The sequence below is a fragment of the Homo sapiens genome, chromosome 10 (genome assembly GCF_000001405.40).
Source record: "Homo sapiens chromosome 10, GRCh38.p14 Primary Assembly".
Lineage (NCBI taxonomy): Eukaryota > Metazoa > Chordata > Mammalia > Primates > Hominidae > Homo > Homo sapiens.
The window spans coordinates 127,168,650-127,195,474 of NC_000010.11; the positions used below are offsets into that span (position 1 = coordinate 127,168,650).

The 26,825-nt window shown below is 44.8% G+C and overlaps 2 protein-coding genes across 33 annotated transcripts in view; one reads left to right on the plus strand and one right to left on the minus strand.

The window, feature by feature from the left end:
• The window catches only part of DOCK1 (dedicator of cytokinesis 1), a 547,089-nt gene that overhangs the window by 263,222 nt on the left and 257,042 nt on the right, over positions 1-26,825 (plus strand). The window lies entirely within an intron of this gene.
• The window catches only part of INSYN2A (inhibitory synaptic factor 2A), a 61,162-nt gene that overhangs the window by 33,220 nt on the left and 1,117 nt on the right, over positions 1-26,825 (minus strand). For 2 of the 12 annotated variants that reach the window (XM_047425639.1, XM_047425634.1), the window contains exons 1-2: positions 8,228-26,625; positions 6,563-7,751 (exon numbers count right to left, since the gene is read on the minus strand). In XM_047425639.1, the coding sequence (XP_047281595.1) occupies positions 6,563-7,746 (1,184 nt within the window). In that variant the 5' untranslated portion in view covers positions 7,747-7,751; positions 8,228-26,625. Of the gene's footprint in view, positions 1-438; positions 26,626-26,825 lie in introns of those variants that run through there. The other 10 variants (XM_047425636.1, XM_047425637.1, NM_001039762.3 and 7 more) reach the window with 9 other exon arrangements.

Consider the following 26,825-nt stretch of genomic DNA (forward strand, 5'->3'; position numbering starts at 1 on the left):
TTGGCAAGAACAACCTAATCATCCTGCTAGAGAGTGCATAGCCAAATTGGGATGGGATCACCTCACTGTGCCCAGCTTTCCCCTTGGCTCTTGGAGGGGTGAGCCTGGGAAGCCAGGAAATCAGACTCTAAGCCCACACCTTCGTGATTCCTCAGCGTTTATGCACAGCTGCTGCAGCGGTGCACAATTTTCCATGTGGGTTCTTTCTGCTCTGTAACTTAAATAGTCCCCTTATGCTTCCTCTGTAATTGTGATGCAGTATTTATTCTGTTTGGGCATTGGTAATTAGAGCAAATTCAGAGATTTCTTATCCCCTGACAGGTCTCTCTGATTCTGAGTGATTTGTCAATATGAGGACATAAGATACAGCAAGTATATCATTTCTACCCATCTAGCATCAATATTCTAGGTTAACGCAAGTCACATCACGCAAACATGTTCTGTGATGGCTTTTTATTTCTGCTGCTGGGAGAATGAGACCTTTTTCATGTTTCCAAGAGATGCTGTCATATACATTATACATACATATTAGGTATATGTGTGTCATACACACACAGAGTTCCAAAGCAGGACCCCAGGTTGTATGGGCTGATGAACAATTAAGCGTATATTTGAACAGCCTGAATGCCGATGAACTGTGAACCCCTCAAAGGCTGGGCCCGAATTCCTTTGACTCTCACATCCCCTCATTGCCTGGCACAGTGTCCATCACTTCAGTGATGTTTGGCAGAAACCTTCTAAATGTGTGAATGAATGATAGGCCGGTGTGCTTGGCAGTCACACACCTTGGACTGCCTGCACCCATATTCTGGCCTGAACATTTTTAGCTGTATGAATATGGTCACTGTATTTACAAACCATATATCAGGAGTCCATAACCTATGGCTTGTGGCCCAAATCTGGCTACCACCTGTTTTTGTAAATAAAGTTTTATTGGAACACAAGTATGCCCATTCATACAGATTCTCTGTGGGTGCTTTCAGGATACAATGGCAGAGTTGAATCATTGTGACAAAGACTGGCTGTCAATATGTATTTACTATTTGGCCCTTTGCAGAAAAGTTTGCTGACCTCTGCCATGTAGGAGCTGACCCTGAGCCCCTGCAGTAAACACAGATGTCCATGAGACTAAGTCCTTACCTCTTAAGTATGTGTATGTGCACATGACCTTCCATTACTTGTTGGCTATTCATTGTTTTTGGTAAAGTTGAGCAAACCTTGGTACAGGATACCACACTTCGTCTGTATTAACTCGTTCCATCCCTCAGCTCTTTCTTCCTCTCTCCCTTGTCTTGAACACCACCGTAAGCGGCACCCTCACAGAGCCCCTGAACTCAGGGGGTTCCTTTAGCTTCTTTTTTTACCACTGTGTGCCCGAGACTTGGGAGAGCTGGCCTCACACCACCAAGAAACCACCCTTTCTCAATGAGGATGAACAGAACCCCTGCTGACAGGGAACTGCCCCCATGATGGGGTGGCAGGGATGATGGGAGGTGATAAATGACTGGGTTTGCCACCCTTCCTGCAAGGTACTAGACTCTTTGGGTTGGTGTGTTACTTAGGATTTTCTGTTTTTAATCATACTCTTGCCTTTGCTCTGAATTAGTAAAGTCACAAAGCCCCGAAGCCTCAGGGTCTTATCACTACCTGCTGGTCATGTTTAAGGGCCTGGGGTCCTCTTGCTCTCTCCCCCTACCCCAAGCCTGCAGGTAACACCCAGCAAATGCTGAGGGAGGCCTGGCCCATAGAAGAATCTGCTTCACTCTGGGCAGTGACAGATTCTGATCATGTGCTTGATATCCTCAAGTAAAGCTTCTCACGATCATTTCTGGTCTTCTCCAAATAGCAGAGTATCATTAGGCTGTCACCAGCCAATGGACACTTCAAGAGACTAAATGTTTGGCGTAGGAAATCTAAGAGGCAAAGAGCGCTGTCGGGGTTGCCACACTGTAGTTGCTGGTGAGTTTACCCAATGAGCCACCAAGACCTACACCCCATTGGTCTGAGGATCTCCTGCCCAGGAATCCCATAGCTGCTACAGTGAATTAGCACTGTTCTAATAATTGATTGGGTTTTTTAAATCCACTGTCCCATTTGCCTTGTTCTTAGCCTTCAATGACTCCCATTAGTGACTTATTTAGGTAGCCTGTGTGACCCTGAACTTCCCCAGAAGACACAAGCATAATACTAAGAGCTCTGAAATAAGCAGGATAATTCTTGGCATTCATGCAAGCCCGCACTGCATAAAGCAGAGTGATTTTAGTGAATTGCCCCAGTGTTTTACAAGGGACTAAAAGGCGTGATTTTGCATACTTTTTGCACATCTAACCTACTTGCAGAATTCATCCCACTGAAATGCTCGTAACAGGATATGTCCTTTATTCAGCGCCAACTGTGTGCTGGTTATAAGTGGGAGCTTTGTAGATACTGTATTTCAGTGTCTACCACCCCTAGTTGATTTCAGACAAAATTGAAGCTCACAGAGGTTAACCTGTCTCAGCCATAAACATTCTCTGCCGAAGCCATTTGGAAATCTACATAAGCAAATGAAAATAATGAAGGAGAGTCTCTTACGAAAAATAATTTGGAAGCTACTGAGAGCGGTTGTAGCCAGTGACACAGAAATTCCTGCACAGGTTAAGAACTACAGGGAAGCACTTGCCTGACAAACTCAATAGTGAAAAGAAGTCCTATTAAAGAGATTTTACAATAAACATGTTCTAAGAAACATACATTGCCCAGGGCCATCAGCGGGATTCAAAGAATACTGGCTTCCCAAGGAGCAGGCCCATGACCCCTTTGGGCCAGGTCAGACCTTAAGTATAGTGTGGAAATGTGGGGGCAAGATTTGTCACTTGTATTCAAACTCATGGGCTCCGAGGTGCCTGCCCTCACTAGGACTCTTCTGAATGCAGATGAAATTCTGTTGGAAGCCCCTGTATGCTTTATTGGGGTGGCAAGTGGGGAGAGGAACTGACTTTCCCCAGCTTCAAGAGTGTTCTCCAGCTCCTGATTTGTAGGCTTTAGAATATTTTCCAAGAAAAGTTCCATTGATTTTATTTTTATTTTTTTGAGATGGAGTCTCGCTCTGTTGCCCAGGCTGGAGTGCAGTGGTGTGATCTTGGCCCACTGCAACCTCCACCTCCCGGGTTCAAGCAATTCTCCTGCCTCAGCCTCTGGAGGAGCTAGGATTACAGGTGCCCGCCACCACGCCCGACTAATGTTTGTATTTTTTAGTAGAGACGGGATTTCACCATGTTGGCCAGACTGGTCTCAAACTCCTGACCTCAAGTGATCCACTCGCCTTGGCCTCCCAAAGTGCTGGGATTACAGGCATGATCCACCGTGCCCGGCCTCCACTGATATTTTAACTTGGTCATTTGAGTTCATTGTCGTATCATATAATAACTATGTATCAGTGTACACAGAGTGCATTTTCCTGTTTTCTTTTTTTGTTTGTTTGTTTTTTTAAACCATGAGATGCAACTAAAATACCAACTTCCCAGTTCAGATCTGGTACATAAAGTAAGCCCTGTGAATCCCTCGTTCTAAAGTCCTAGAACTTGCCCTTCAAGGGATTGGTTGGGTGCTGAGTGGAGCAGAGTGTTACATTTTTAGGATTTCATGAGATTGAAATTGGCCACGGTAGCAGTATTTACACCATGGAAATCAGCAGATGCTACTTCCCTTCCCTCCAGAGCCTGTTGTTCCAGATGTCCCAGCCCAGTGCTGGCTGCCACTGCTCACAGCTGTCACTCCTGGGACTCTGTGCTGTACCCAGGGTCTGGGAAGGGATGGAGAATGAGCTTGCATCTTATCTGCCTGTCTCTGAGGCTGCAGTCCTCTCCTATGTTCTGACATGGAGAAGACGGGTGGGAAATTTGAATTTCAGCCAAATTAATGACCCTGGGGCATTGAGCAAGAGGGGGCCCCATAAGGTGGCCTTGAATTTTGGAGCCCATAAGGTGGCACTTGATTCTTTGCTATCTGAGTCCAGAGGGCTCTGAGAGAGAGGAAGTGAATGTTCCCAGGAACACAACAGAGACCTGCCTTTCTACCTTCCACCGTGAGCTTGTGCTGGCAGCAACTGAACTAGGATTGATTTTAAAGTAAAACCATCCTTTGTCTTGATTTAAGGTGCCCAAGTCCTCAGATGCTTAAGAACCAGGCACTGTGCCATGTTCTGGGATACCGGAGTGAATGACATTTCGTGATGATGGAAATGTTCCGTAGCTGCACTGTCTTATGTATGTGGCTATCGAGCATTTGAAATGTGACTGCTGTGACTGTGAAGTTTCAATTGTCATTGAGTTTGAATTTCAATAGCCACGTGCAGCTAGTGGCCACTGTATTGGATAGAGCAGCTCCAGAGTTTCAGGGACAGTCTTGTGTGGCAGCCTGTGTGCCGGGCATATAGGGGATGCATTCATCACATTGGACGCCCACAAGACCACTAAGTCCTCCCCAGACCCCTGCTCCAGCATTGCTGGCCAGCAAGATCAACACTCATGCCACTAGTGGACATCTACCCATTCAGACACACCTGCCACTAGGCTGAACACATTAGAAGGTCACCCCATGTCATTCCATCCCCTGTCTGCAGGACAGACAGTGATCTCAACTTACAGGTGAAGAAAGAAGGCACAGAGACATACAGCCCTTGCCCAAGCCCTCAGTGCCAGATTCCTACCCAGACATGTCTTAGTAAACTGAGAACCACACTGCTAGATGGATGGCATCTCAGAGAACCCTGAGGATCTTATTTAAAGCAATCTTCCATACTTGTTCTAAGAGGAGTGTAAGAAGGCGCTCCCATATATCGTACGGTTTTCCTTTCTTGTGTTCGTGGGTGTTCAGCCCTCTCAGGTTCTTCTTTGGGCACACACTCCTGTGAGTATGCACATTAGTGTACATATTTCATTTTACACCATTTGGTGAACTTTATTTCACCAAAGATGTTGGCATCTTTCTCTTTTGCTGTCTGGTTTAATTCACTACCAACTATATCAACATCAGTGACTGGGTCAATGTTTGACCTTTTAATTTTTTTGCAGGAATGTGGACTACTGATCAGTAAATCACTGGTCTCCCCCACCCCACGCCTGATGAGTGTTGCTTTTGGATCTGTACTGATGGAAATGGGATGAAAATGGAGATGTAAACCCAAGATTGAACAAGGCCTTTTGGAAATGTTATATGGTGTTAGATTACCTATGAATCTACTGTTAAGATTTTTGTACATTTGGCTGGCAGTTCTTTTTGCTTAAGAGCATCAAGCTGTAGACAGGCCTCCTGCACCAAGCTGGAGCAGCCAGAGCCCAGGGCAGGACCTGCCCCAGCCTCTCCACTGCTGGAGCTGGGCCTTTCACCTCAGCCTCCACCTTAAGGCAGGAGGTGTTTCCTCCCCATTCTTTGCAGTCAGCAAACTGTCTAACTCAGCCACAGCAATCCTCTTAAGGAAACTTTGTGCCCAGGTGGTTTTCTGTCCTGGAAATACATTACTTGGCTTATTTCAGGCTGGCTTCTAGCTTGCTAAACCCAGGGCTCAGGGCTCGCAGAGTGAAGGGTGCACATCACATGAGGCAACAGGGCGCTGCCTCCGATGTTACCTCCAGTACACAGGCTAGCAGGAACACAGACACTTTCAAGGGGCAATGGGCAAGAGAGGTCTCGGCAATCCAGGCGAAGTCCGATAACCCCCAGACCCAGAGTAGAACAGGCTGCTTTGTATCAGCTGAGCACATGCCGGCCTGTAGGAGGCTTCCGCACTGGGGAGCTCAAGAACTAAAACCCCACCTTTAGGTCATTTGTTTTTAAAGATGCTGCTGCACAGTTTAAACTTCAAAACATGAAGTGCAAGATGGTCTTATCAACGCAATAAAGTATTGGCCGTGAAGTTAGTATCATTCTTTCTGCAGCCCCACTGGACACATAGGGCAGCCCGTGGGGAAGGGCATCTGTCTCCTAATCATATACAGTCAGGACTGGTCTCACAATGCCCATTGCTTCTTTGGGTTCCAGGTACAGAATGGAAAACACACTGTCTATGATGTAAAGCCTTGTACAGTCCTGAATACCAATATTATTTCAATTATTTATTATAAGCAAGTCAGCATTTACTTTTCCAAATGTCACATGAAATTTCCTTTCTCTTCCTAATACGATTCCTAAGAGGCCTGTGGCCTCTTCTCTTCCTGATTCTCTTCTTATTTAGAATAGATATTTTGGACTGGCATATGTTGTTATACATTATCAATATCATAAACCTTTAGCCCTAGCAGAATAAAAGGAAAGGTCTATCAATTCATTCTAAGCATAGGTATGGTTTGAATTCAAGGCCAGAAAGATGAACATTAACCAGAAAGCGTATCGTGCAGGATGCAGTGACGTCTAGTATCATAAAATAATCTGCGACCCCTTGGAGCTCGCCACGCCCTTAGACTATGACCTGTTTACGGAAATGCTGGCTTTAGTCTCATTACAGACTTGGGTTTGGGGCTACAGATGGACTCTGTGGTGATCAGCCTGCATAGCTTCCTAAGACATGGGTGAACATACATACCCTTCCCGATGGGCCTCTCCTTTTTCCAACTCCTGAATGACCCCCAAGAGCACTTTGATGGTTTCTTGGCTTGAACTGATCAAGTTCTCCATCATCTGAAGTTGTGCTTTGAGGTCGACCACTTCCGTATGAGGCACGATTCGTTGGCATTCTTCACCTGCAGCAACCGCTGTGGGACTAGGCTGGTTCCCCAGCCCCGGCGGGGTGTGAGTCTGCGACGGCTGCTCACTACATTCGGGGGACAGGCACTGCATCGGGGGTGAGCAGGCCAGGGCAGTTTCCGAGGGCGCCTGGAGCCCGTTGAGATGTGTGGCTCTCCTCCGCTCGTCATCTGCCGGGCAGAGTGACCACTGGCTGGCGGCTGCAGAGTCTGACAAACCAGGCTCGGGGGCCCTGGCACTGAGGGCAGGTGCGTAAACGGTGGCAACCTCCGTTTTAAACACCCTCCTGAGGGCAGGTGGAGCGGGCTCCTCGGAGTTTGGCCTCCCCCGGTCCTGCTTGGCCCTCCCGAGCAGCTGGTAATCGGGCTCTTCGGATGGAGGCCGAGTGGAGTTTTGGAGCGCAGCTTCTCCATAGCTGAGCGGCTCCGGGCTTTTACAGGGCTCTGTGCAGTTGACCCCCAAAGGCTGGTCCACTGTGTTCATGTGTTGGTTGGAATGGAAAACCAAGGCTGTGGTCTTGTGCACCCGCCCCGCGCCACATGGCCGGGCCTCCTCCATGGGTCCAGCCTCGTTCTTCTCTTTCGCATCTGTTAGAAACCCATTGTTTTGGCTTTTAAAGGGATCTGCAGCTGGGAGGCTTTTGAGGTTCCCCTTTTTGCGGTCCAGAGGGAACGTCTGGTAACACTTCTTAAGGTCGGGCGAGGTCTGCACGCCTGTGCTCTTGGTGACGTTGGGGATGGACCTGCGTGCGGGCACTGTCATGTATTTGCGGTAGGCTGCTCTGCAGGACACGGGCTTGGCCTCCCGCTTCTCCCCCAGCTGGCCCGAGGACAGCTGTGTGTCCCTCTGCTCATTCTGTGCCTCGCAGATATCCTTAAACCGCACCTGCAGGGCTTTGTTCCGTTTTTTAATCTGCCGGTTGGGGTCCAGGGCGTATTTCATCTCCAGGGCCAGGCAGGCGGCGGGTTCCACTTCACTCTCCGACGTTGTGAGTATGCATTTGCCGGTGTCCTTACTGACCATGGTTCCTGCATTCAGAAACAGCAACAGAGGTGTCAGTGGGACAGAAATACACACTCAAGCACCGGCCGCACAAACTTTTAGCCACCACGACGACTGCCTGTTTCCTAATTATATTTAAGCAGGTGAGGTCGGCCTTTATGTTAAGGAAAATCACACGGGCTGAGAGTCGCTGGCAGCACAGCTTGAAATGCTTCTCAGATATTAAAGCCTGCTTGCTTTTCCAGGTGGGATACACTCGCTTTCCTTTTGACAGTAATGCATGTTTCCCCATTAGACAAACCTGTTTTACTACATTCATCAAGAAACCCAATGATGCTGCCTCTTCTGCTTTGCAAATTATCTTTTCACACGCGTGACTCCCCTTCTTAGGCAGATGGTTTACCAAGTGCTACTTATTTGGTTTGCGTTTTGACTATTTTTTGAGGATGACGTCATTAATCTATTGCTGGAATCTGGGAGAGCTGCTGTTTTAAAGACTTACTGGAGCTGCCACGTCTCGAGCAGATAAATGTGGAGAGCCCTCCGAGGAGGAACGGAAAGAAATCTATTTGCGTGAGCCGTTATGGATTCCGGGGGAGAGTTGGCCGTGCTCCTGGGTGGGAACCGTGAAGGAGAAGTCGTCGAGGGGTGGTCGCTTCTCATGGGTTAACATCAGCTCTAAAAGGAACGTGGGTTTCCCTGCATCTACAAAGGCCATGTTTGCAACTCCTTTTATTCCATGGAGAGTGGTACTGGAAAATAATTCTTAAAAAAAAAAATAAAAGAAATTACTCATTCTAGAATCAAGTTTTGTGTTGTGATCACAACCTCCGAAAATGAAAACAATGGTGGTGGTTTCAGTACTTAAATTCTGAAAGCAAATAAAACTATGAGGCTTTATGTTAATCATGCAAATTCATCCTGGGCTGAATTATTAAATGCAGCTAAAAAGATGCAGGTGGCCAATGACTCCTCTCGGGGAATACCAGTGGGGTAAAATGCCTTCACTTTATTAGGCGGATTCACAGCTGTTTATTGCACATGGAAGAACTTATTTGATGGCTGCGCTTAAAGCAAGAAAATAGAGTTAAGTGTGTTGTTTGTGAGTGAGGCTTCGCCTTTTCCCCCCTTGTGTTTGAGAAGAAAACAGTCAAACGGAAGGCACTGAGGGTGTACGGGGCCCGAGTGGCTGGAGCTGAGTGCCCAGAGAGGCAAGGTCATGGACATGGGCCCGTGAGAGCTGCACAGAAACAGACTTCGTCCACATTGCCCCCAGCCCAGCTGCCGACCTTGTGCCCTGTCCTGGGGGTGTCTGAAAAACCAGCCCAGAGACCTGTGGCAGCACTCATTGGAAAATGCCACAAGAACTATGACATGCGCAGCATGGCCACTGCTTCTGGAGTGAGGTGGTTCGAGTGCCAGATGCTCTGCTCGTTCACATACAGAATGCCTTGCTTACAAATGTTCCTGAAGGTCAAGGCTACACTTCCCATTTCAAGGAGGATACTAGGGTTCAGAGATGTTGCGTCATTTTTCGGTGTCACACAGGAAATAAGCAGCGCAGGCAGGAGCAGGACCCTACTTTAGTGGACCGCTGAATCCATGCTGTTCTCATAGACCCAGCTGTCCAACAGACAGAGGCATGACCCCTCCCCACATCCTTAGCCCTTACTGAGTTAGCATGACAGGCCGAGGTGCACGGTGGTTCCATAAGGGGGAAGAAGAGACAACTTCACAGCCACCATCTAAAAGTAAGTGACATGACTAGCCCTCTATTAAAATGACCTCTATGTCTCAGGCCAGCCTGGTCTTGTCACCTTGCTGGCCTCCACTGCTGTTCACTGGATGAAAGAGTGAAGGAATCAAATTCTTCATACATTATGCTATGAACAACTAACAGGTAATCATGTGTAAGAACAACAAAAAACAATCTCTGCAGCATTTGATTTAGGTGGGACCAGAGTTTCTAAATCCTGGCACTACTGGTATTTCAGGATGGATCATTTGCTGTTGGAGGGGCTTTGCTGTGCGGTGCAGGGTGGTCAGCAGTCCCTGGCTTCTCCCCACTGAAGAAGTAGCACCGCTCCCTCCCAGTGTGACAACTAGAAATGTCTCCAGCCATTACCAGATGAGCCTGGGAGCAGAGTCTTGCCTGGCAGAGAACCACTGCATTAGCCCTTGCACCTCTGGATGCCTCGGGCTCTTGTTCGATTATCCTATAGTGTGTCCTGAAAGGTGAGGCTTGCGTAGACAGCAAAGGAAGTCCTTGGTGCTTTACTAGGTGCTGGGGGTATTTGGAGATTGCTGCAATTTGAAACTTGAAAAACTGGGCAGTTTTAGAGAGGAGAGAAAAGGCAAGAAACAGACTGGAGATGCACCAATATCTTGGCCCCGTTTGGGATGGCTAGATGATAGGTGGAAGGAGGGACAAGGCGTGCCTGCTCAGGAGAAAGCATCGATGGCTTTTAGAGATTCTTATCCCAGCAGGTTAAACAGATGCACACAAGACAGCTTGGTGTGGGGGACAGTATGGGTAGCAGTGGGGGTGGAATAAGAAAATTAAATCTTAACCTTCACTCTGATCTCCTATTCATTCTTTAACTGCCTTTGTTGTCCAGGTATGTCAGAATGTATTGTGCCATCATTCTGCAGAAGACCTTCATACTAGGGAAAATTTGAAAGAGAGAGCATTTTTACAAAAAGCAATTTACTAGTAATTTATCAGCCTTTTCCCTGCTACTTCTGAAAAATGTGTGTCTGAATAAGTTTGTCCTGCCATGCTATTCATCATCACCATTTGCTAGGGACTGCACTGAAATAATTTTCTTACATCAGTTGGCTGGGGTAAGAAATATTCTAGGTCTTGGACGCAACCATCAAACTAATACAACAAATCAGAAGAATTAATTGCTGGTGGCCAAATAATAATAAAAAATTCTAAGCTCTTCTCTGTTTTATAGAGGGTTGCTGGTACATAAAAATCATTTCGTTGTTAGTAAAAAAATGATGGTAATACTTAGGATTTTTAATCACTTTAGTTTGTTATTGCTGACTTAAAAAACAGTAATAGTAATTGAGTTCTTATTCTCTGATAGGGAAAACACCAAGGAATTTTTGTGGCTGGTTTATTTTGGCTTCAAATGAGGTTATGAGTTCTTTCTGACGGCTGGATGACATTTTCTAAAGCTTTAAAATTGAATTTCTGGACATTAAGAATTACTAAGGTGGACACATCTTTTCGGGGTGTTCATTTGCTCTTTATTGGGGGTGGAGGGTAAGGCTTACAGTGATTACCATTAAGAAAATGATTTTGTTATGAAAGGAAATGGGGCATTCTACAGAGGACTTTCCCTAAGACAAGTGGAACCTTCTCCCACACTATTTCATTCATCATTCCTTCATGCATTTATTCAGCAAGTGAATGTACATACGTTACAGTGTAGCATTAACATTCAGTAAGCATGCAGTTAAGTGCTCCTATGTGCTAATCAAATGTCACCATTCCCCTATGCATAGCAGTTGTGTTTTCTAGATTTGATCCTCATCATATCCTTACAAGGCAGCCACTATTGATACCCTCATACTGCAGATTGAGAAACCGAGGCACACGATTTTGGGATTTTTTGCAACTTGCTCAGAGTGAGGAGGCTAGTGGGCCACACCCATTGAAACAGCTGAATCCGTTTGAATCACATGCCCTAACCCACTACCCCTGCTCAAGGAACTCTGTAACTTGAAGTGATCCATGATAAACTTGAAAACATCAAACAACTGAAACTCATCTGAGCAATGCCCTTGTCTTGTTCCCACAGTGTATCTGGGTGCTGGTTAGGCAAGGACATCCAGGTAGTTCCGGTAACACAGTGGGTGTTGGAGCACTGAGTGAATGTTGCCTTGAATTCTGGACTGAGCATGAAGCTGCAATAGGATTCTTCATGATGGCTTGCCTTGGCTGGGTCACCCTAGAGAACCATGGACTCTGGTTTGGGGAGCTGATCTCTTGGCTCTAAAGCAGCAGGAGTTCATAAAGTTTATTTTTCGTAAGAAAATTGTGTTTTAGAATTCATTGGACTGTGCTGTCTTGAGGTGAAAATGGCTAGTCATGGTTGTGCCTGTTTGGCTCGAGAGAGCTAGATGTCGAGGAGCTGTTTGGAATATAAATGTCTTAATTACCCTCAAATTAAATTTCATAATCAAAGTGAGCTGTAAATACATAAACCCTGCATTTTTAGATTAGTGACGGAGAACCATCTCTGCATGCTGCTTTAAATTAATGGCTGATATGAAAATGTGCATTCCAACTTAAATAAGTGAAAAATGGAAGCAACTTAATGGCTAACAATAGGTAAACAGTTAAGTAAATTATGGTTTACATTCACTCTGGGCGGCCATTAAAAGGATAATTATAGAGATTATTTAGTATCATAGAAAAACACGAAATAATGTTAAGTGAAACAAAGCAGTCTACAGATTATACTGGAAAAAAATGAACAAAAACGGTCATCGTTGTGGTATTAAGATAGCACATTCGGAGAGATTTATTTTTCCTTCTGTTTTCCAATTTGGGGAGAATGGAGGGAGGTACAGCGTCGTTCTGGTTTTGCCAATGAAAATAACACAAGGTAAAATCTAATCCACACCTGAAGCAGGCCTCTGGAAGGCATAACCACTAGTATCAGAATAAGAAAAACCCAGAAATGATGAGATGGGGCTATAAGTAATTTGTCAAAGGTCATCTTTTATTGTTTTGAGGGAGCCCTGATAAAGAATGAAAATGAATTTCAAGTGTGTATATGTATGTATATATGCATAGGTATATACGTGCCTGCGTATGTATTTGGCTATGTATAGTTAAATGTTTAGCAGAAGATATGTCAATATTTGAGCAAACGTACTGTAAGGAAGGAAGTTAGCATCTGTTTTAATTAGAAATAAAACAGACTCAATAGTCTGAAGGCAATTTTGTGGGGTTCCATTAGCTGCCAAGAGAAACTCTCCATTGGATTCTGTCCATTCTTAAAATGTCCGTGCTGATTTGCAGGTTTGCAGTTTGACCCTGTGATGGGATTTGTGGGGGAAGATGCAGGCAGCTGCCAGTCTGACCGAGACACCTCCCAGGGCCCAGCAGTCTCCGCATATAGTAAGATAGCTAGGCAAGCAGTCAGAGGAGTGCCACAAGGGATTGTATGAAATTATGGGTTTTCCTAGTGGCTTTCTCACTGTTCAGACACCTTGGAGTCAAAGATGCTGGTGGGGATTCAAGATGAACTGGGTCAGCATTTTCTTCCATATGCCAAGGGGGTGCCTGAACATGAGGCTACTCAGAATGGGAGAATGGTGAAAATGAACATCCCATTCTTCACCACCGGCTTCCACCGGAAGGGGAGGTAAAATAGAACCTCACTCACTAAATGAAGTCACTCACATTGTGAAATAGTTAACTTAGAGACCTGTTTCATAGGTGCCAATTGAGTCTTCAGAACTGGAAGTCCTCTTTTCCTTGGGGCAAAGCCAGCTGCCATAGATGGTGGACTGTGTCTTAGATTCATTATCCGGTTTAATTTTCTTTATATAGTGAAATGTTATTTTTTCCCTACATTTGTTGTTTTCAGCAGAGGTCACTGATGAGGACCAAAAAGGGGTGACTGGATGAATTCAGACACCCTTGTGTGACTGAGCAATGCGTGAGGAACTGTTTTCTTGCAGAACTATGGCTCCTTGGAGGAAACACGGAGATGGCACGCCCCGTTCCCTCGATGTGTAGAATATTGCAGTGAAACCTCTGTCATTAAGAACTGATGACCACCTAGTCCAAAGCAGGGAAAAGGGGCACTCACAGAGGTTAAATGTAGGCATCGAGGCAGAAGAAAACCTATCTTAGGTTCAGCCCCCACTCATGCATATCTGCGGTTTTAGAAAACACTCTTAACGAACAAAAAAACCTATGGTCAGTTGCTTTAGCCACATAATGTAAACCACAAAGGCTCACACTGGCCTACTTCGGGGAGTGAGAACAAAGGAGGGCAAGCATGCATGCTTGGGGCTTGGTGCTTGGTGCTCATGTTTTAAAAGAACCAGGGAATGGCCCTCTTAAATGGTCCAGACTTTTAATTTATGTTTCACTACCCAGTTCTTTGATTTTCAGCTTATGTTGATGTTAACCTTTGCTCATCCTGCTACATTCATAGAGATGAATTACCAAAATTTTATGATGTTGGTGAAAATCAACTGGAAAATATGCCTCCTTGAAATGAGACATTATGTCAATGTAAAAAAAGTTTTATTTGCAGCAGTTAGCTATGCCAGCTAATAATGGCCAAAAGGAGTTCAGTACAGTTGGTTCCAACAACTCACCAAAATCACCTGTGAGATTGGTAAAAGGAACTAATTTCCCTGCCTCCCTGTTTCCCATCATCATGACAGTGACAGAGTGTGAGACAGGAGGGCTGTGCTTTGAACACAGCTCATGAGTACCTTTAGTTACGATAGCAGGTGTCCCACTGACCCTGGAGGCTTCCTGGTGATGAAGCAACAATCAGCTGGTAGTTTGGGGCCCATCAGAGGCGGGAGTTGGCAGGACACAGAAGAGGTGGTCTCCCTTTTTTAGACTTAGTGGGAATCTCACTCACATGAAAACACAAAGATACATACTAGAATGTACTTGGGGAGTGCTTTGCCTTCCTGATTATGGTGAATCTTTTTTTTTTTTTTTTTTTTTTTTTAACTAAACAGCATGTTTTGACTCATGATTTATCTGAAACTAAAACTAGGACATTGATTTTTTCCCCCCTAAAAATGACTTATATCAAAGGAGTCTGTTTTCCCTGACACTTCCCAGTCTTATTTGAGGATACCCTATTGGGACAATCAGGGCAGGATATCTGCTTGGAGGTAATGGTCACTACAATGGAAGTCATTTAGAGTTGAAGATGCAGTCTGTCTTTCTGGCAAGGCCATGGGAATGCCCATCAACTCGACCATCAGAATGGATCCCTCTTGTATTTTCATCGTAGTATGAAAATGCCACAATGTTTCTTTGGTTTGGCCAAATCCTAAACTTTGCATGGTCTTCGGTTCACTGCAGAGGTAGCTGTGCCAGGAAGAAAAGGAGACTTGAGCATTTCTTGTAATGAGCTTCTATTCCTAAGCTGATAGCCAAATGTAGAGAAAATAACCTGCACTTGGGGTCCATGTACACAATCCTAACCGAAGTCTGCAGAAAGAGTTAGTGCTTGTAATCTTCTCGGCCCTCATACAGTTTGCAGTTCATGGCCTAGTCTGAAAAGACTGTCTTGGTTTGAATGAGCTATTCATTGCAAGTGTGCACAGAGCGAAATTTTAGCATTCATAACACAAAATGTCATTTTTGTTGGGGGGCTGGTGAAGAGAAAATAAACAAAAGGTCTATATATTGTATACTTGAAACTGTATATTTTATTCCTTAAAAATCTACCTCTTATCAATCCTGGTGTTACTCTGCCAGGTTAGTTGGTTGTTTAATTTTTCCCTTGACCAGCAGCTGTTGTGAACCTCTGTCTTCTCTGTGCATGATAATAAGTAGCTACTTTTTAAAAACATGAAACCATATCCTTCCCTCACAAAGTTTCATCTAATGTCTTCGAAGGTTTATCTCTTTGTGCATGAAAAACTTGGCAGTGTCTCTGGTAATCTGGAGGAGGAGGACTCAGTGGTCTTTCTTGGGAAGCAGTCTGACATGATGTAATGCCTGAGACCCAAGGGTGGCCTGGACTCAACCCAGCAACACAGCTACTGTGCTTACCCCAGCTGAGCTTGGAGCAAAAGACACCCCATGTTAAAGGCAGGACTGGACTTGGTTTGCATTGGGGTCACGAGACCCATCTCCAACTTAGTAGATTCTGTCAGTATTTTTATGCTGAAGGCTTCCAACAAGTGCTGCCAACGGCTTGCTCAATTCATTCCCCCCCCAGTCTAATCCCCCAAATCAGTCGTCACCATGCCCTATTCGTTTTTGTTTTTCCTTCCTGTTGCTTCTCCTACTGATTTCTTCCCTTTAGTTCCACACTGTTCCCACCCTGATCTTGGCCTTCATAACTCTCCTGCCCTCAGCTCTCCATTCCCCCATGCCCCACCCCCGTCCCCCATCCTGCAGGTCCTGCTAGTCTTGGCTTCAAGTGCACACGTCGCTTCTCTGTGCATATACCTGGATACATCCCAGTTGGTAGCACTTCCAAAGAGTCTCTTATTATAAGATCATCTATACTTTTTCCTACCTGCTCATCTTTCTAGATTTCTCTTGGCTACTCAGAAATGCTCCATCTGCTGACTTCCATTAAGCCATTTCCTGCACTGTCTCCTGAACACACCATGGTCAGTCTCTACTTTGTGTCTTCACTTCCACTGGTTCATTTTCCAGGACCGCGCCCTGGTCCTCCTTCCTCATGGATAGTCTGTGTTTGGTGGTCTAGATCTAGTCTTATCTTCTATGCCTTCTCCAGTCCTTACCTGTCACCTTCATTTACTCACTGAACAGTGCATGCCTGGGGTGACCTAGGCACCATACTGGATGCTGGGCACACAGGAAAAAACAAGGCATACTCTTTGGCAGTGTCTAGTCCAGCAGGAGAGAGACACGTTGATGCCTGACACCAGTCCACTGTGCACAAGACCATGTAAGAGGAGGGAAGTACTGAGAGTGCTCCCTGGGGAGTCAGGGTAGGCTCTACCTGGGAGATGTGCAAGAGCAGGCCTGAAGGATGCTCACTTTGCTTTGCTTTGTGTCGGTTTTCTCTCCTTAACACAAATATAAGTGTTCTGTGGAGTAGGTCCCTCTAAGTCTTCCTCCTATGCTCAGTCATCCTTCTTTACTTACTGGTTTAAGAATCTTAACACTGGCCAGGCACGGTGGCTCATGCCTGTAATCCCAGCACTTTGGGAGGCTGAGGTGGGTGGATCACAAGGTCAGGAGATCAAGACCATCCTGGCCAACATGGTGAATCCCGTCTCTACTAAAAATACAAAAATTAGCTGGGCGTGGTGATGCGTGCCTGTAATCCCAGCTACTTGGGAGGCTGAGGCAGGAGAATCGCTTGAACCAGGGAGTGGGAGGTTGCAGTGAGCCGAGATTGCACCACTGCACTCCAGCAAGAGAATCTTAACACTATACATCACAGTATCCTTAGAGCTGGGACCTTAGCTGAGATACAGCAAGAAGACTTAGGATGAGTGTACAATATTAATGGCTTCCAAGGAGTCTTTTTACATTATCTGGATCCTCACATTAGGTAGAACCTGGCTGTATAATGAAACATGAGTAGGAATTAGAGAAGTGGAAAGGAGAAGGGATAGTTTTGTTCGTTGAGGTAAAACCATATCCAGAGATCTTTATCTTCTGAACTTTGGCATGACTACCTTGAGTGGTTGTTGTACAAATGTTTCCGGTGCTGATGGGAGAGAAGGAGATGGCACACACACTCACAAAAATGAGTAGATGGCACAGAAATGGTACAGGTTCTATATTTAACCATGCAGTATATTGGGGCCCCATACTGTTGTAGAAAATGTGACTTGCTAGGAATTATCAGAAGGTTTGTTCTTATATTACTCAACTTTCTTCTTGGGTACTCCCAAGATATGGTAGTGGCAAAATAAATTGAGTTTAATTAAAAAATCTCAATAGCTTGGAATAACAACGTTTTAGAGCATGGCACCTTTCCTAAACTCAGTTGTCTAATCTGCTCTAGAGGATGAATCACTGGCTTTCAGAGGGAAAAAAACAATAGAGGGTCTGGGGCATACCCAGGGTTCTAGTGACTTCCAAGGGTGTATTAGTCCATTCTCACACTGCTATGAAGAAATGCCTGAGACTGGGTTATTTATAAAGGACAGGTGTTTAACGGACTCTCCGTTCTGCATTGCTGGGGAGGCCTCAAGAAACTTAAAATCATGGCAGAAGGCAAAGGAGAAGCAGGCACCTTCTTCACAAGGCTGCAGGACTGAATGAGCGCAAGCAGGGGAAATGCCAGACACTAGACATGGTGGTGCGTGCCTGTAATCCCAGCTACTTGGGAGGCTCTCCTTAACACATCCGATAGACAACCATCAGATCTCCTGCGATTTCACTCACAATCATGATAACAGCATGGGAGAAACCGCCCCCCCGCCCCCCCCCGATCCAGTTACCTCCACCCAGTTCCACCCTTGACACATGGGGATTATGGAGATTACAATTGGAGGTGAGATTTGGGTGGGGACAGAGAGCCAAACCGTATCAGAGGGGCATAAACATATGAATGAAATAGCTTTCATTTTCCTGTTCTTTAGACTGAGAACAATGAATATAAAATTATACTAAATAAGGAAGCGCAGTACTTAGGAATCTCATGCCACACTGCTGTTGTCCATTGAGATGAACGTGGAGAGGAAGGAGAAGGGCAATGGGGATGTATAAAGAGAGAGAGGTTGTTAGGGGAACGGTGAGTCGAGAGAAATGCACAGACAAACAGACACATGCACACACAGATACAGGAGGGGAAGGGGATGTGTGCTGGAACATAAGTCCAGGTCAGCTGTGGGACATCTGTGGGCTGTTCCTTGAATCAGGCACATAGAGTTTTGATAGCCTTCAGCCATGACTCCCAGCGTTTTGGTTGCTCTTAAAGGGCCAGTTGCAGCAACCCCATCTCCTGTCCAGAAGGGAACGTGACAATTCACCCCGGGGCAAAACAAGAGCCCAGGCTCGGGCAGGCACCCAAAGCAGGACATCATACAGTTTCCTGTTCTATGAAGCACCCAACACATAACACATTAAGTGTTAAACTCAATGAAGAGTCCCATTTTCAGCAAATATTCCTGCGTTTGCCTCTATCTTTTTATCTCTCCAGCACCTCCTTGGAACAGATGCCCTGCTACTTTACAAGGCTTGTGGAAAAGAGAAAGAGAACAGTAGCAAAAGCCTGTGTAGTTCATGAATAGAAGTTAGCATCGTAGTGAGTAAGCAGTACTGATGATCTGTGAAATGATTCTCTGTGGACTTGAGCATGCTAAAAAGATCTTGAAAAAGGAAAACATAAATCTTTCCAAAACCTCACATGACCCCTGTATGCTTTCGCCTTCTTGAAGCTTTGGAGGAGAGCATAGGTGTGGATGAAATGGAGTCTTTTAAAAGTTGTTTTGGTTTTTGTTTTTGTGTGTGGGTTTTTAAAGAGAGCATATCCTGCCACGTAGAAGAAAATCCAGGGGGTGGCTGTCCTCCTACAGGAAGGAGGTAAACAAGCATTTTTCCTTAAGGGCTCTATTCCCTCAGCCTCGCTCCCTCGAAGGCCACACTTGGAGGCCAGGAAGTTAATCCATTAAAAAACAAGGAGAAGAAAGAGAGAAAGAAAGAAAGAAAGAGAGAAAGAGAGAAAGAAAGAAAAGAGAGAGAAAAGCAAGCAAGCAAGCAAGCAAAAGCAAAAGCATATTGGTCTCTACCCCAGTCCAGGTAAATCAGAACTTCTGGAGGATGGAGACTGGGTTCCACTGTTTGTTTTAAATGCCTAATATAATTTTAATAATGCACATACGATAAAGAACCACTGGCCTTCTTCCTTTATCTTTTTCACCCTTTGTTGTCTTCTATTTCCTGCTGTATCTCCAAAGCTTAGAGAAGTTTGTGGCATACAAAAAGTACCCAGAAATATTGACTGAACGAAGGGCTTAATGAATGAGTGAATGTCACGGGGGAGCAGGGAGGTTGAGCCCCTTCCATTTTTTTCTAGAATGAACCTGGACATCAGCCAGGTGTTGGGATGATCACCAGCAGATCCCACACAGGCCCACAGAGTGTCTGTGCCCTGGCCTGGCTGGGCTGTGCTGTGCACAAACAGATGGGGTGGATTCATGTTCCACAGAGGAGAGAGCTAGTGGCCAGTTATTGTCATGGATGAAAATCCAGGTCTTTCACAACATCCATTAATTATGGGATGGCAAATTCCAAGTAAATTGTCACTGAGCAGACCCATAGTAGGAATAGGGCATATTCACACTTTTTTTTATGTATATATATTTCTGGTTGGAGACGCAAAACATTTAGAATTCTGTTCCCTTCTAGAAATTCCATGGCTTGGGGCAGCTCTTTTCAACCATGGATCTGGGGTTTGAGACCAGTCATTCGTACATTGACAGTCTTTGCACAGTGAATAACTCTGGAATTTCTGCATTAGAGAGGGGGTGCTCAAGGTCTTCCCATGCTACCATGGTTTGCTAACGTGGTTAATTTCTGGCCGTAGTCCTTACGAACTGGGGCTTTGAGACCACCTGCTTGGATTTGAGTTCTGGCCCTTCCCCTCCACTTAATAGCCCAGAACTCTGGGCAAGTGATCTAACCTGGGAGAGCAAAGATCAGAAAAGGTAACACTTGTGTATAACACTCAGCACAAGCTAGGTACCGTTCTGTGCTTTGTGTATGTCTGAACCTTTCATTCTCCAAACACCCTCTGAAGGAGAAATTACTATTTGTAATAAAGATGGGGAAACAGAGGCACAGGTAGTGGAGTCACATGCCAAAGGTCACACAGATACTGGCAGAGCCAGGAGGGCAAAGGAGGACAGCCTGGCCTGGAGCCTGTTACCGCACCACCACGCTGCACTCCACTGTGAGCTGGGTCAGGGCTCAGGTGGTCGGCTCCTAGGAAGCGCTCAGTACACAGCCCTGGTGATGAAGTGGATGTACACAAAGACAGCACACCTTGGGATGTGTTGTGCATGTGGATGACACTGGATGCAGGACCTACGAGACACAAGCTTGAGAATCACCACCAGAAGGTTCCAACCTTGAGTGGCTGATTAAAAACTGTACGGTTGTCTTAGACTTATACTTTAAAGCTGCATTTGCTAGTGGTCACTCTCACTGACTCTTCAGATACAGTTAGAACTGATGCTTCCATGTGGAATTATTTTAAATAATTACTAGGAGTGAGTTGGGGTCCAGTCTCTGCCACTCACTCAGTAGTTGACCTGCCCAGTGCAGTGTGGGGCCAACCCTGCCAGTGAGCCTGGGCACTCTGTCTGAGGCTCCAGTGTCCAGCCACCTGCTAACTTCTGTCATTCAGCCTCACCCTGGGTGTTTTTGCCACATGGACAAATGTGATAGACACAATAAATAAAGTAGATATATATTCAGAATAAATATTATATAGCAAGACTAAAATATAAATAGCAAGTGCAAAACAAATTAAATGAGGATATGAATGACTTCAGTGAAGCCACTGAGCTAACAACTACCTTTAAAACTAAAACAGTAAGTAATTGAGAAATGCAGTTATCATTGGGCAAGAAGTCAAATGAAAAATACGGTTTGAAAGTGAACAGCATATTTTCAGCATTCCTTTAAGTTCACACAGTACGTTTGCACATGGCACATTATCTAAGCTATGGGAGTCTCAAGTGCACGGTTAAGTGGACACTGTGCAGTGTGATTTACGCAAGGAAAAAAAGACAAAAATAATCTTTATGCAGCGCTGTCATTGATTTTTAAAATGATAAATTGGTGGGTCTGGCACAGAGATCAATGGAGTTGAAGTCACGACGTCAAATTGAGATGTGAGGTTAAGGCTGAGAGACAGACATCTCCTTCTCTCATGCTGGCCCGATGAACTCTCCAGTTTTTTTGGTGAGCTCTGGTGAAAACTCTTTTTAACCCAGAATGTCAGCATTTGGGTTATAAGAACATTAATTTATCTGACTGCAGTGAGATACATTTTCTCAATTCTCCTTATTTGCTTCTTTTACCCTAATACTAGGTCACCAAATTCAAAGACATTCTTTCTCTAAAAACTCAACTTCTACCCAACTGAATTTTCACCAAAGGAATCGCTGAGGTTGAGTTTGGTGGTAAAGAACCCAACCCTTTGGTGCTTTTTTCTTTTCTAAACACTGCATGGCCAGACGTCAGTACTGTTCAGCCCTGGAAGCCGTCTTCCTCTTTACTGCCTTCTCACGGTGTTTCCTTTAATTCCTGCTACACAAAAAGTTACAAGTGGAAATGGAAGAAAACAATTCTTTCCCAATCAGGATTCCCTGAGTTGGTAGCAAAATCACTGGCTAGGTTTGTGTTAGTAGCCTCATTAAATATTTATTAAGCACCTGTTATAGATACTACTATGCTTAGTCATTTAAGGATTTGCGCTGTGAATCGCTTCATCCAATTTCCTCCTATTTCAAAGTATTTCTTGTGGACATTCTAGGACGTAAGAGATAATGAAAAACTTATTTTTTAAATAATATTTCCAGTTGAAAATTCACACTCAAATATTTAATAGAAATCCTATCTTCCCCCCCCCCCCCCCCCCGTTCCTGCTGGCTCCCAGATTTCTGTTGCCATTAAAATCCCCCACCGCCTTGCTGGCCTTGGGTAGCATCTTTAATCCCTTCTTTCTATCTTGCCACATTACAAAGACTTGTCTGCCAGAAGGTTTTACTCATAGCTGCCCCCTAACTTACTTCCCAGTGCTACTGAGACTGGCACATTCTCATCTGTGACACCTTCTCAACTGGTCTCCAACTCCTCTCCTCTGGTTTGCCTCTAGTTATACCGCCTTAATCTTCTGAGAATATATGTTCTTGTTTCAAACATCAACAGAGGACCCTCTTGCCCTGCTGGTTCCTCCTCAAACTGACTCCAGACTATGCCTCCACTCTCTGATTCCAGCACCTCAACCTTTGCTGAATGTCACTTCTCACTCTTCCCATACAAGTCTGTAGCCCTGAGCACCCTACCACTTGGCTTAAGCTCCAGGACTAATGTCTGCTGGGCTCAGGAGTGCAATCTCAAGCATCACCCACGAAGTGAGCCGGGGCATCACTCTCTGCCTGTAATCTCCTATCCTGATTCTACCTGGGAGTCTTTAGGCTCCTGCCACTTCCTTGCCACCTCCTCCCCTCCTCCTGGACTTGAGCTTCTTGGAGTCCTCTCACTTGGTCTTGTAACACCTTACACATTGCCTTGGCCACTGCTGCAACAGCTCAGTACATATCCACAAATCAGAAGTCCTCTCTGAACAAAGCCATCTGCATATCCATCTACCTTCCCTATGCTTGCCCCATTTAAAAATCCCAGGTTTTATATCTTTGCTGCATTTTTTAAGGATGCTAAAATCACTTACTACAAAAATAAGCAGATTTCACTGTACAAAATGCAGGTAGTAAGAGGTATCTAAAATGTAACCACTAAGTACACATAGAAAAGATTTTTAAAAACATGAAGAAGGACCATTGACAAATACAAGATCCTTCCTAGAGAAGAACAAGGGTGGGGGATCTCACATCACCAGTGGAATGACCTAGAAACACAAAGACTGCTCAATTTCATTAAGGTTGGCAGTGAATAGGATATAGCCCCATGCTGCTTCCTCAACTGAACAGCTGTAAAAAGGCCCTCATGCCATCAGCCTGTGCTTTTTCCTCTTTCTCTCTGGGATGTGCCTGTCCATGGAACCCCTGCTTTGGGATATAGCTGTGATCATCTCTGCTGAGATGGAGTGAGAGCAACTTTTATTTGCAAGGCTGCCTGTAGTATTTTCAGCATTCCGTAGCCTCCTTCCCATGTCTCTCATATGTTGTAGTTTACTGCATTTCATTTCATGGCCAAAGCTAGATTATTAAGGGCTGAACTGGAATTTTCCATATTAAGTAGAATATAAACTTCAACAAGCATTTTGATATGGTGGGGTTTTCTTTTGTTTCTTTACCATTCTATTGGATAGAATAGTATAATTCATATGAATGTATGCTGTGCAGAGATGTAAGACTCTCTTCTTTTCTTTTTTTGCTCAAACTTCCTAACAGCAGGATAGTGTGGTAAAGAGAACATGTCTATGGATGTGCAATACTTTGAATAAACAGTTCAGTGCTCTATAAAATAAATATTCACAAATAATGACTTTGGGGAGAGTTATTTCCAAATCCCTTTGAAATATGTTGTTAGCCAAAAGGTTTATAGAGTAATTTAGAATCATAATTCCTGCTTGTCCCTAATATCTGCTGTTCTACATTCAAGTTAATTTTCTCTCAGTCCCAATTAGAGCTGGGAATACATACTCAGCAGAAAGAGACACATTTGTCAGGTTAGAATGTTTTGTTTTTATTCAGGTAGTGATTTGTCATCTGATAACATCTTTATACACCTCAAAGTCCCTCAACCCATTCATTATGGTTTGAATAATGTCTAAAGCACGTACGACTCAAATGCACACTGAATATCCTGTGACTTACAGTAGAGGGGTCTCTGAAAGGACTTGAATTTGGAGCCAGGAAATGTCTCTGAAGTTATGGTTTTTCTCAATGTGAGAGGTAAGATCCTTGGTTGCCTGGAGATACCTTAGTTAGTGCCTTCAGGATCTGAAACAGACACATTATCACACATGGTCCAAAGGTTCAAACCTATCCTTTCATGGCTTAGTGCTTAACACAAGACATTGTCCAAACAACTTGTTTACAGCAATCCTGTCAGGGTCCCTATAGTTTGGTTCCTGCAAGTCTGTATTCTGTCCTTAATGTATAAGAACAATGTACATTTTAAATAAACTGATTAAAAGTCATGAAGTTTCACTACATATATATCATAGGTTAGCTCCAGTATTGGAATAAAGACTTCTCTCAATGTTTGTATGAGAATTTCATGGTAATGAAAGTGTCGTCATGTAGTATCAATCATATTAAATTTTGCTTTAAAATATTGAAGTCACCCCATAATGTTATGAAATATTAAAATCAAATATGTGAGACAAAAAAGGATCTGCTTCATAAATCATGCCAGCTAATTTCTGGTTGGGGAATGTAGGTCTCCAACCAGTGGAATCATGGTGGGGAGGGGTTGTGGTGCTTCACATTTATGAAAGACTGTTGAAAATGACGATGACACTGGTTTTATCTGGGGAGTTTTTATGACCTCACACTCCCAGAATGACGGTGGTTTGCCTCAAGTATGTAGAATTTGCCTGCCTTCCCAACTGAGCTTCTTGGATGCTATGGACGCGTTGAACAGCATCCTTCACAAGCGTTAAAATCCGTGGTGAACCTGTCACTGCCCTCCTACGTAAATATCTGACCACAGAGCTGCTGCTTTGGGAGGTAGCTGTGATCATTTCTGTATCATGAGTCTCTGAGAAGCATAAGTCACCTGCTTCTCATATTCCAGAGTTCAGTAGTTGTCTCTAAATGAGATAGCCATGGCTGGGCGCAAACAAGAGAATACAAATGTCTACGTGAACGGGTCTGTCCTGCCACTCCACTGCGATCCGTTGTTATTTCTGAGAATCATTTTGATTTTTGGACTGCTTATTTCAGTGTGTAGGAGTCTTCCTTGTAGATGAATGCCTTTCACGTACAAGTCTTTCTCTTATTTATTGATTTATTTAAAAATTTTTCCCTACAGAGGGAGAAACAAAACACAAAAATTCCCTTTCCTGCCACAGGGGAAAACAACTGTGGCAAAACAGAGAAGCCCCCGAAGTAAACAGAGTAATAGAGTACCCAGCCTCCCATAGAGCTTGCAGAAATCTCATTGTGCAGACATGGAGCTTCCCAGCTTTTGCCTTGTTAGCCTATTTCTTAACCAGTAATTCTGTTTCTTAATAGGATAAAGGGCCTGACTTACATGAAAGCTCAAAGTCTTAATCACAATGATAAAATACAAAGTCGTGGCAACTGTAATAAGTTTAAAGACATATGTAGCTTTTCAAGGACATCTTGTCTTTAAGGAAAAGTCTTTCATTTAGCTAAAGAAATTAAACTGAATTGTTTAGTCTTTTAAACAAAATGATGAATTTAGTGAAGAAAACAAAACTCTCCATGGCTAATGTAATTTATGCAAAATCATGCAATTAGTGATAGCTGTGCTAGACTTTTTCTTTTCCTTAACCAAATGCGCCTCTAATAAAACCATCGTGAGGAGCAGTGCCATCTAATGTAAGTAGTAAACATGGATAGTAAATGATTAATATCTGGTGAGGCATGCAGATGGCAGGACTTCCATTTTTTCTTTGAGCTCCTTGTGCATGTTTGCTAATCATTCTTGCAAAAAAATTGCAAAGATAAATATGAACTTTCAAAAGTAACATTCAACAGGATATGAATGTAAGAAATAGTACAGTGTGGGGGAATAGTAAAAACCAGCACTTTCCGCCTCTGCATAGTGAAATGACGGTAACTTGCTGTAGCGTAAGCTTAATAAGGGTTATATCATTTTCATGTATGTACTACTCTGGGAATGGCCCGGGTCTTGTGAGTGGTATTTTTTCATCAAGTACCCAGCCAGCGCAGTCACTCTGACAGTCCCCCCACTGAGATAAGGCATGGAAAGGTAACCCTCTAGCAAGTCCTCGTTGAGGGGGGAGCGTTCAAGTGCACAGACGTCTACCCTGTGCTATCCTGAGCTGTAGTCTTCTGAAATGATCGTTTGGCTTCCCAGCCAAGGCAGGGCTCCCCCAAAGTTCATTCCCACTCTTGCAGTTTCACCTCGGGATGCTTCCGCAGAATTTCAGCGCCTAAGCAGACAAGGTCAAAGTAAACCGCTTCACCGCTGCTTCTGGCGCAGGGGCCCAGAGCGCGTGCAGCTCCCCAGCACAGACCAACAGCAGGAGAGGGGTCCGGGCGGGAGCCCTGGGCTGTAGATAAGCAAAACGCACCCATTTTCTCTCCTATTTACTCCAGAGGCACCTCTCCTCCCCCACTCCTGGCATCTCTTTATCACTGGCTCCCTCTCCCTGTGGCATATTTTTGGGTAGTAGAATGCTGAGGTCACAGGGAGCGGCTCTTTATCCAAGCAGTGGGGACATCAGCCTGGAGCCCTGAGCATGAACCAGCAAGATGCAGACTCTCGCTCTTGACTTTGGGCTCCAGGAGCTGCCCCGACCCCGGGCTGCCCGCGGGCTCCCTCCTCCCTCCTGCCCTCGCCCGCCAGCTCGCAGTCTCTTAGGTCTGCAGCGTTGGTTGGTTTCCCACGCCTGTCCCGGTCTGACTCGGGCTGCCAGGCACCGGGAAGCCCCGCGGCGCCGACCCCAACCCGCAGCCCCGGGAAGGTGCCAACCCCAGCGAGTGGAGGAGACGAGCATTTCACGTGGGCATCTGCCTTCACTGCTGCT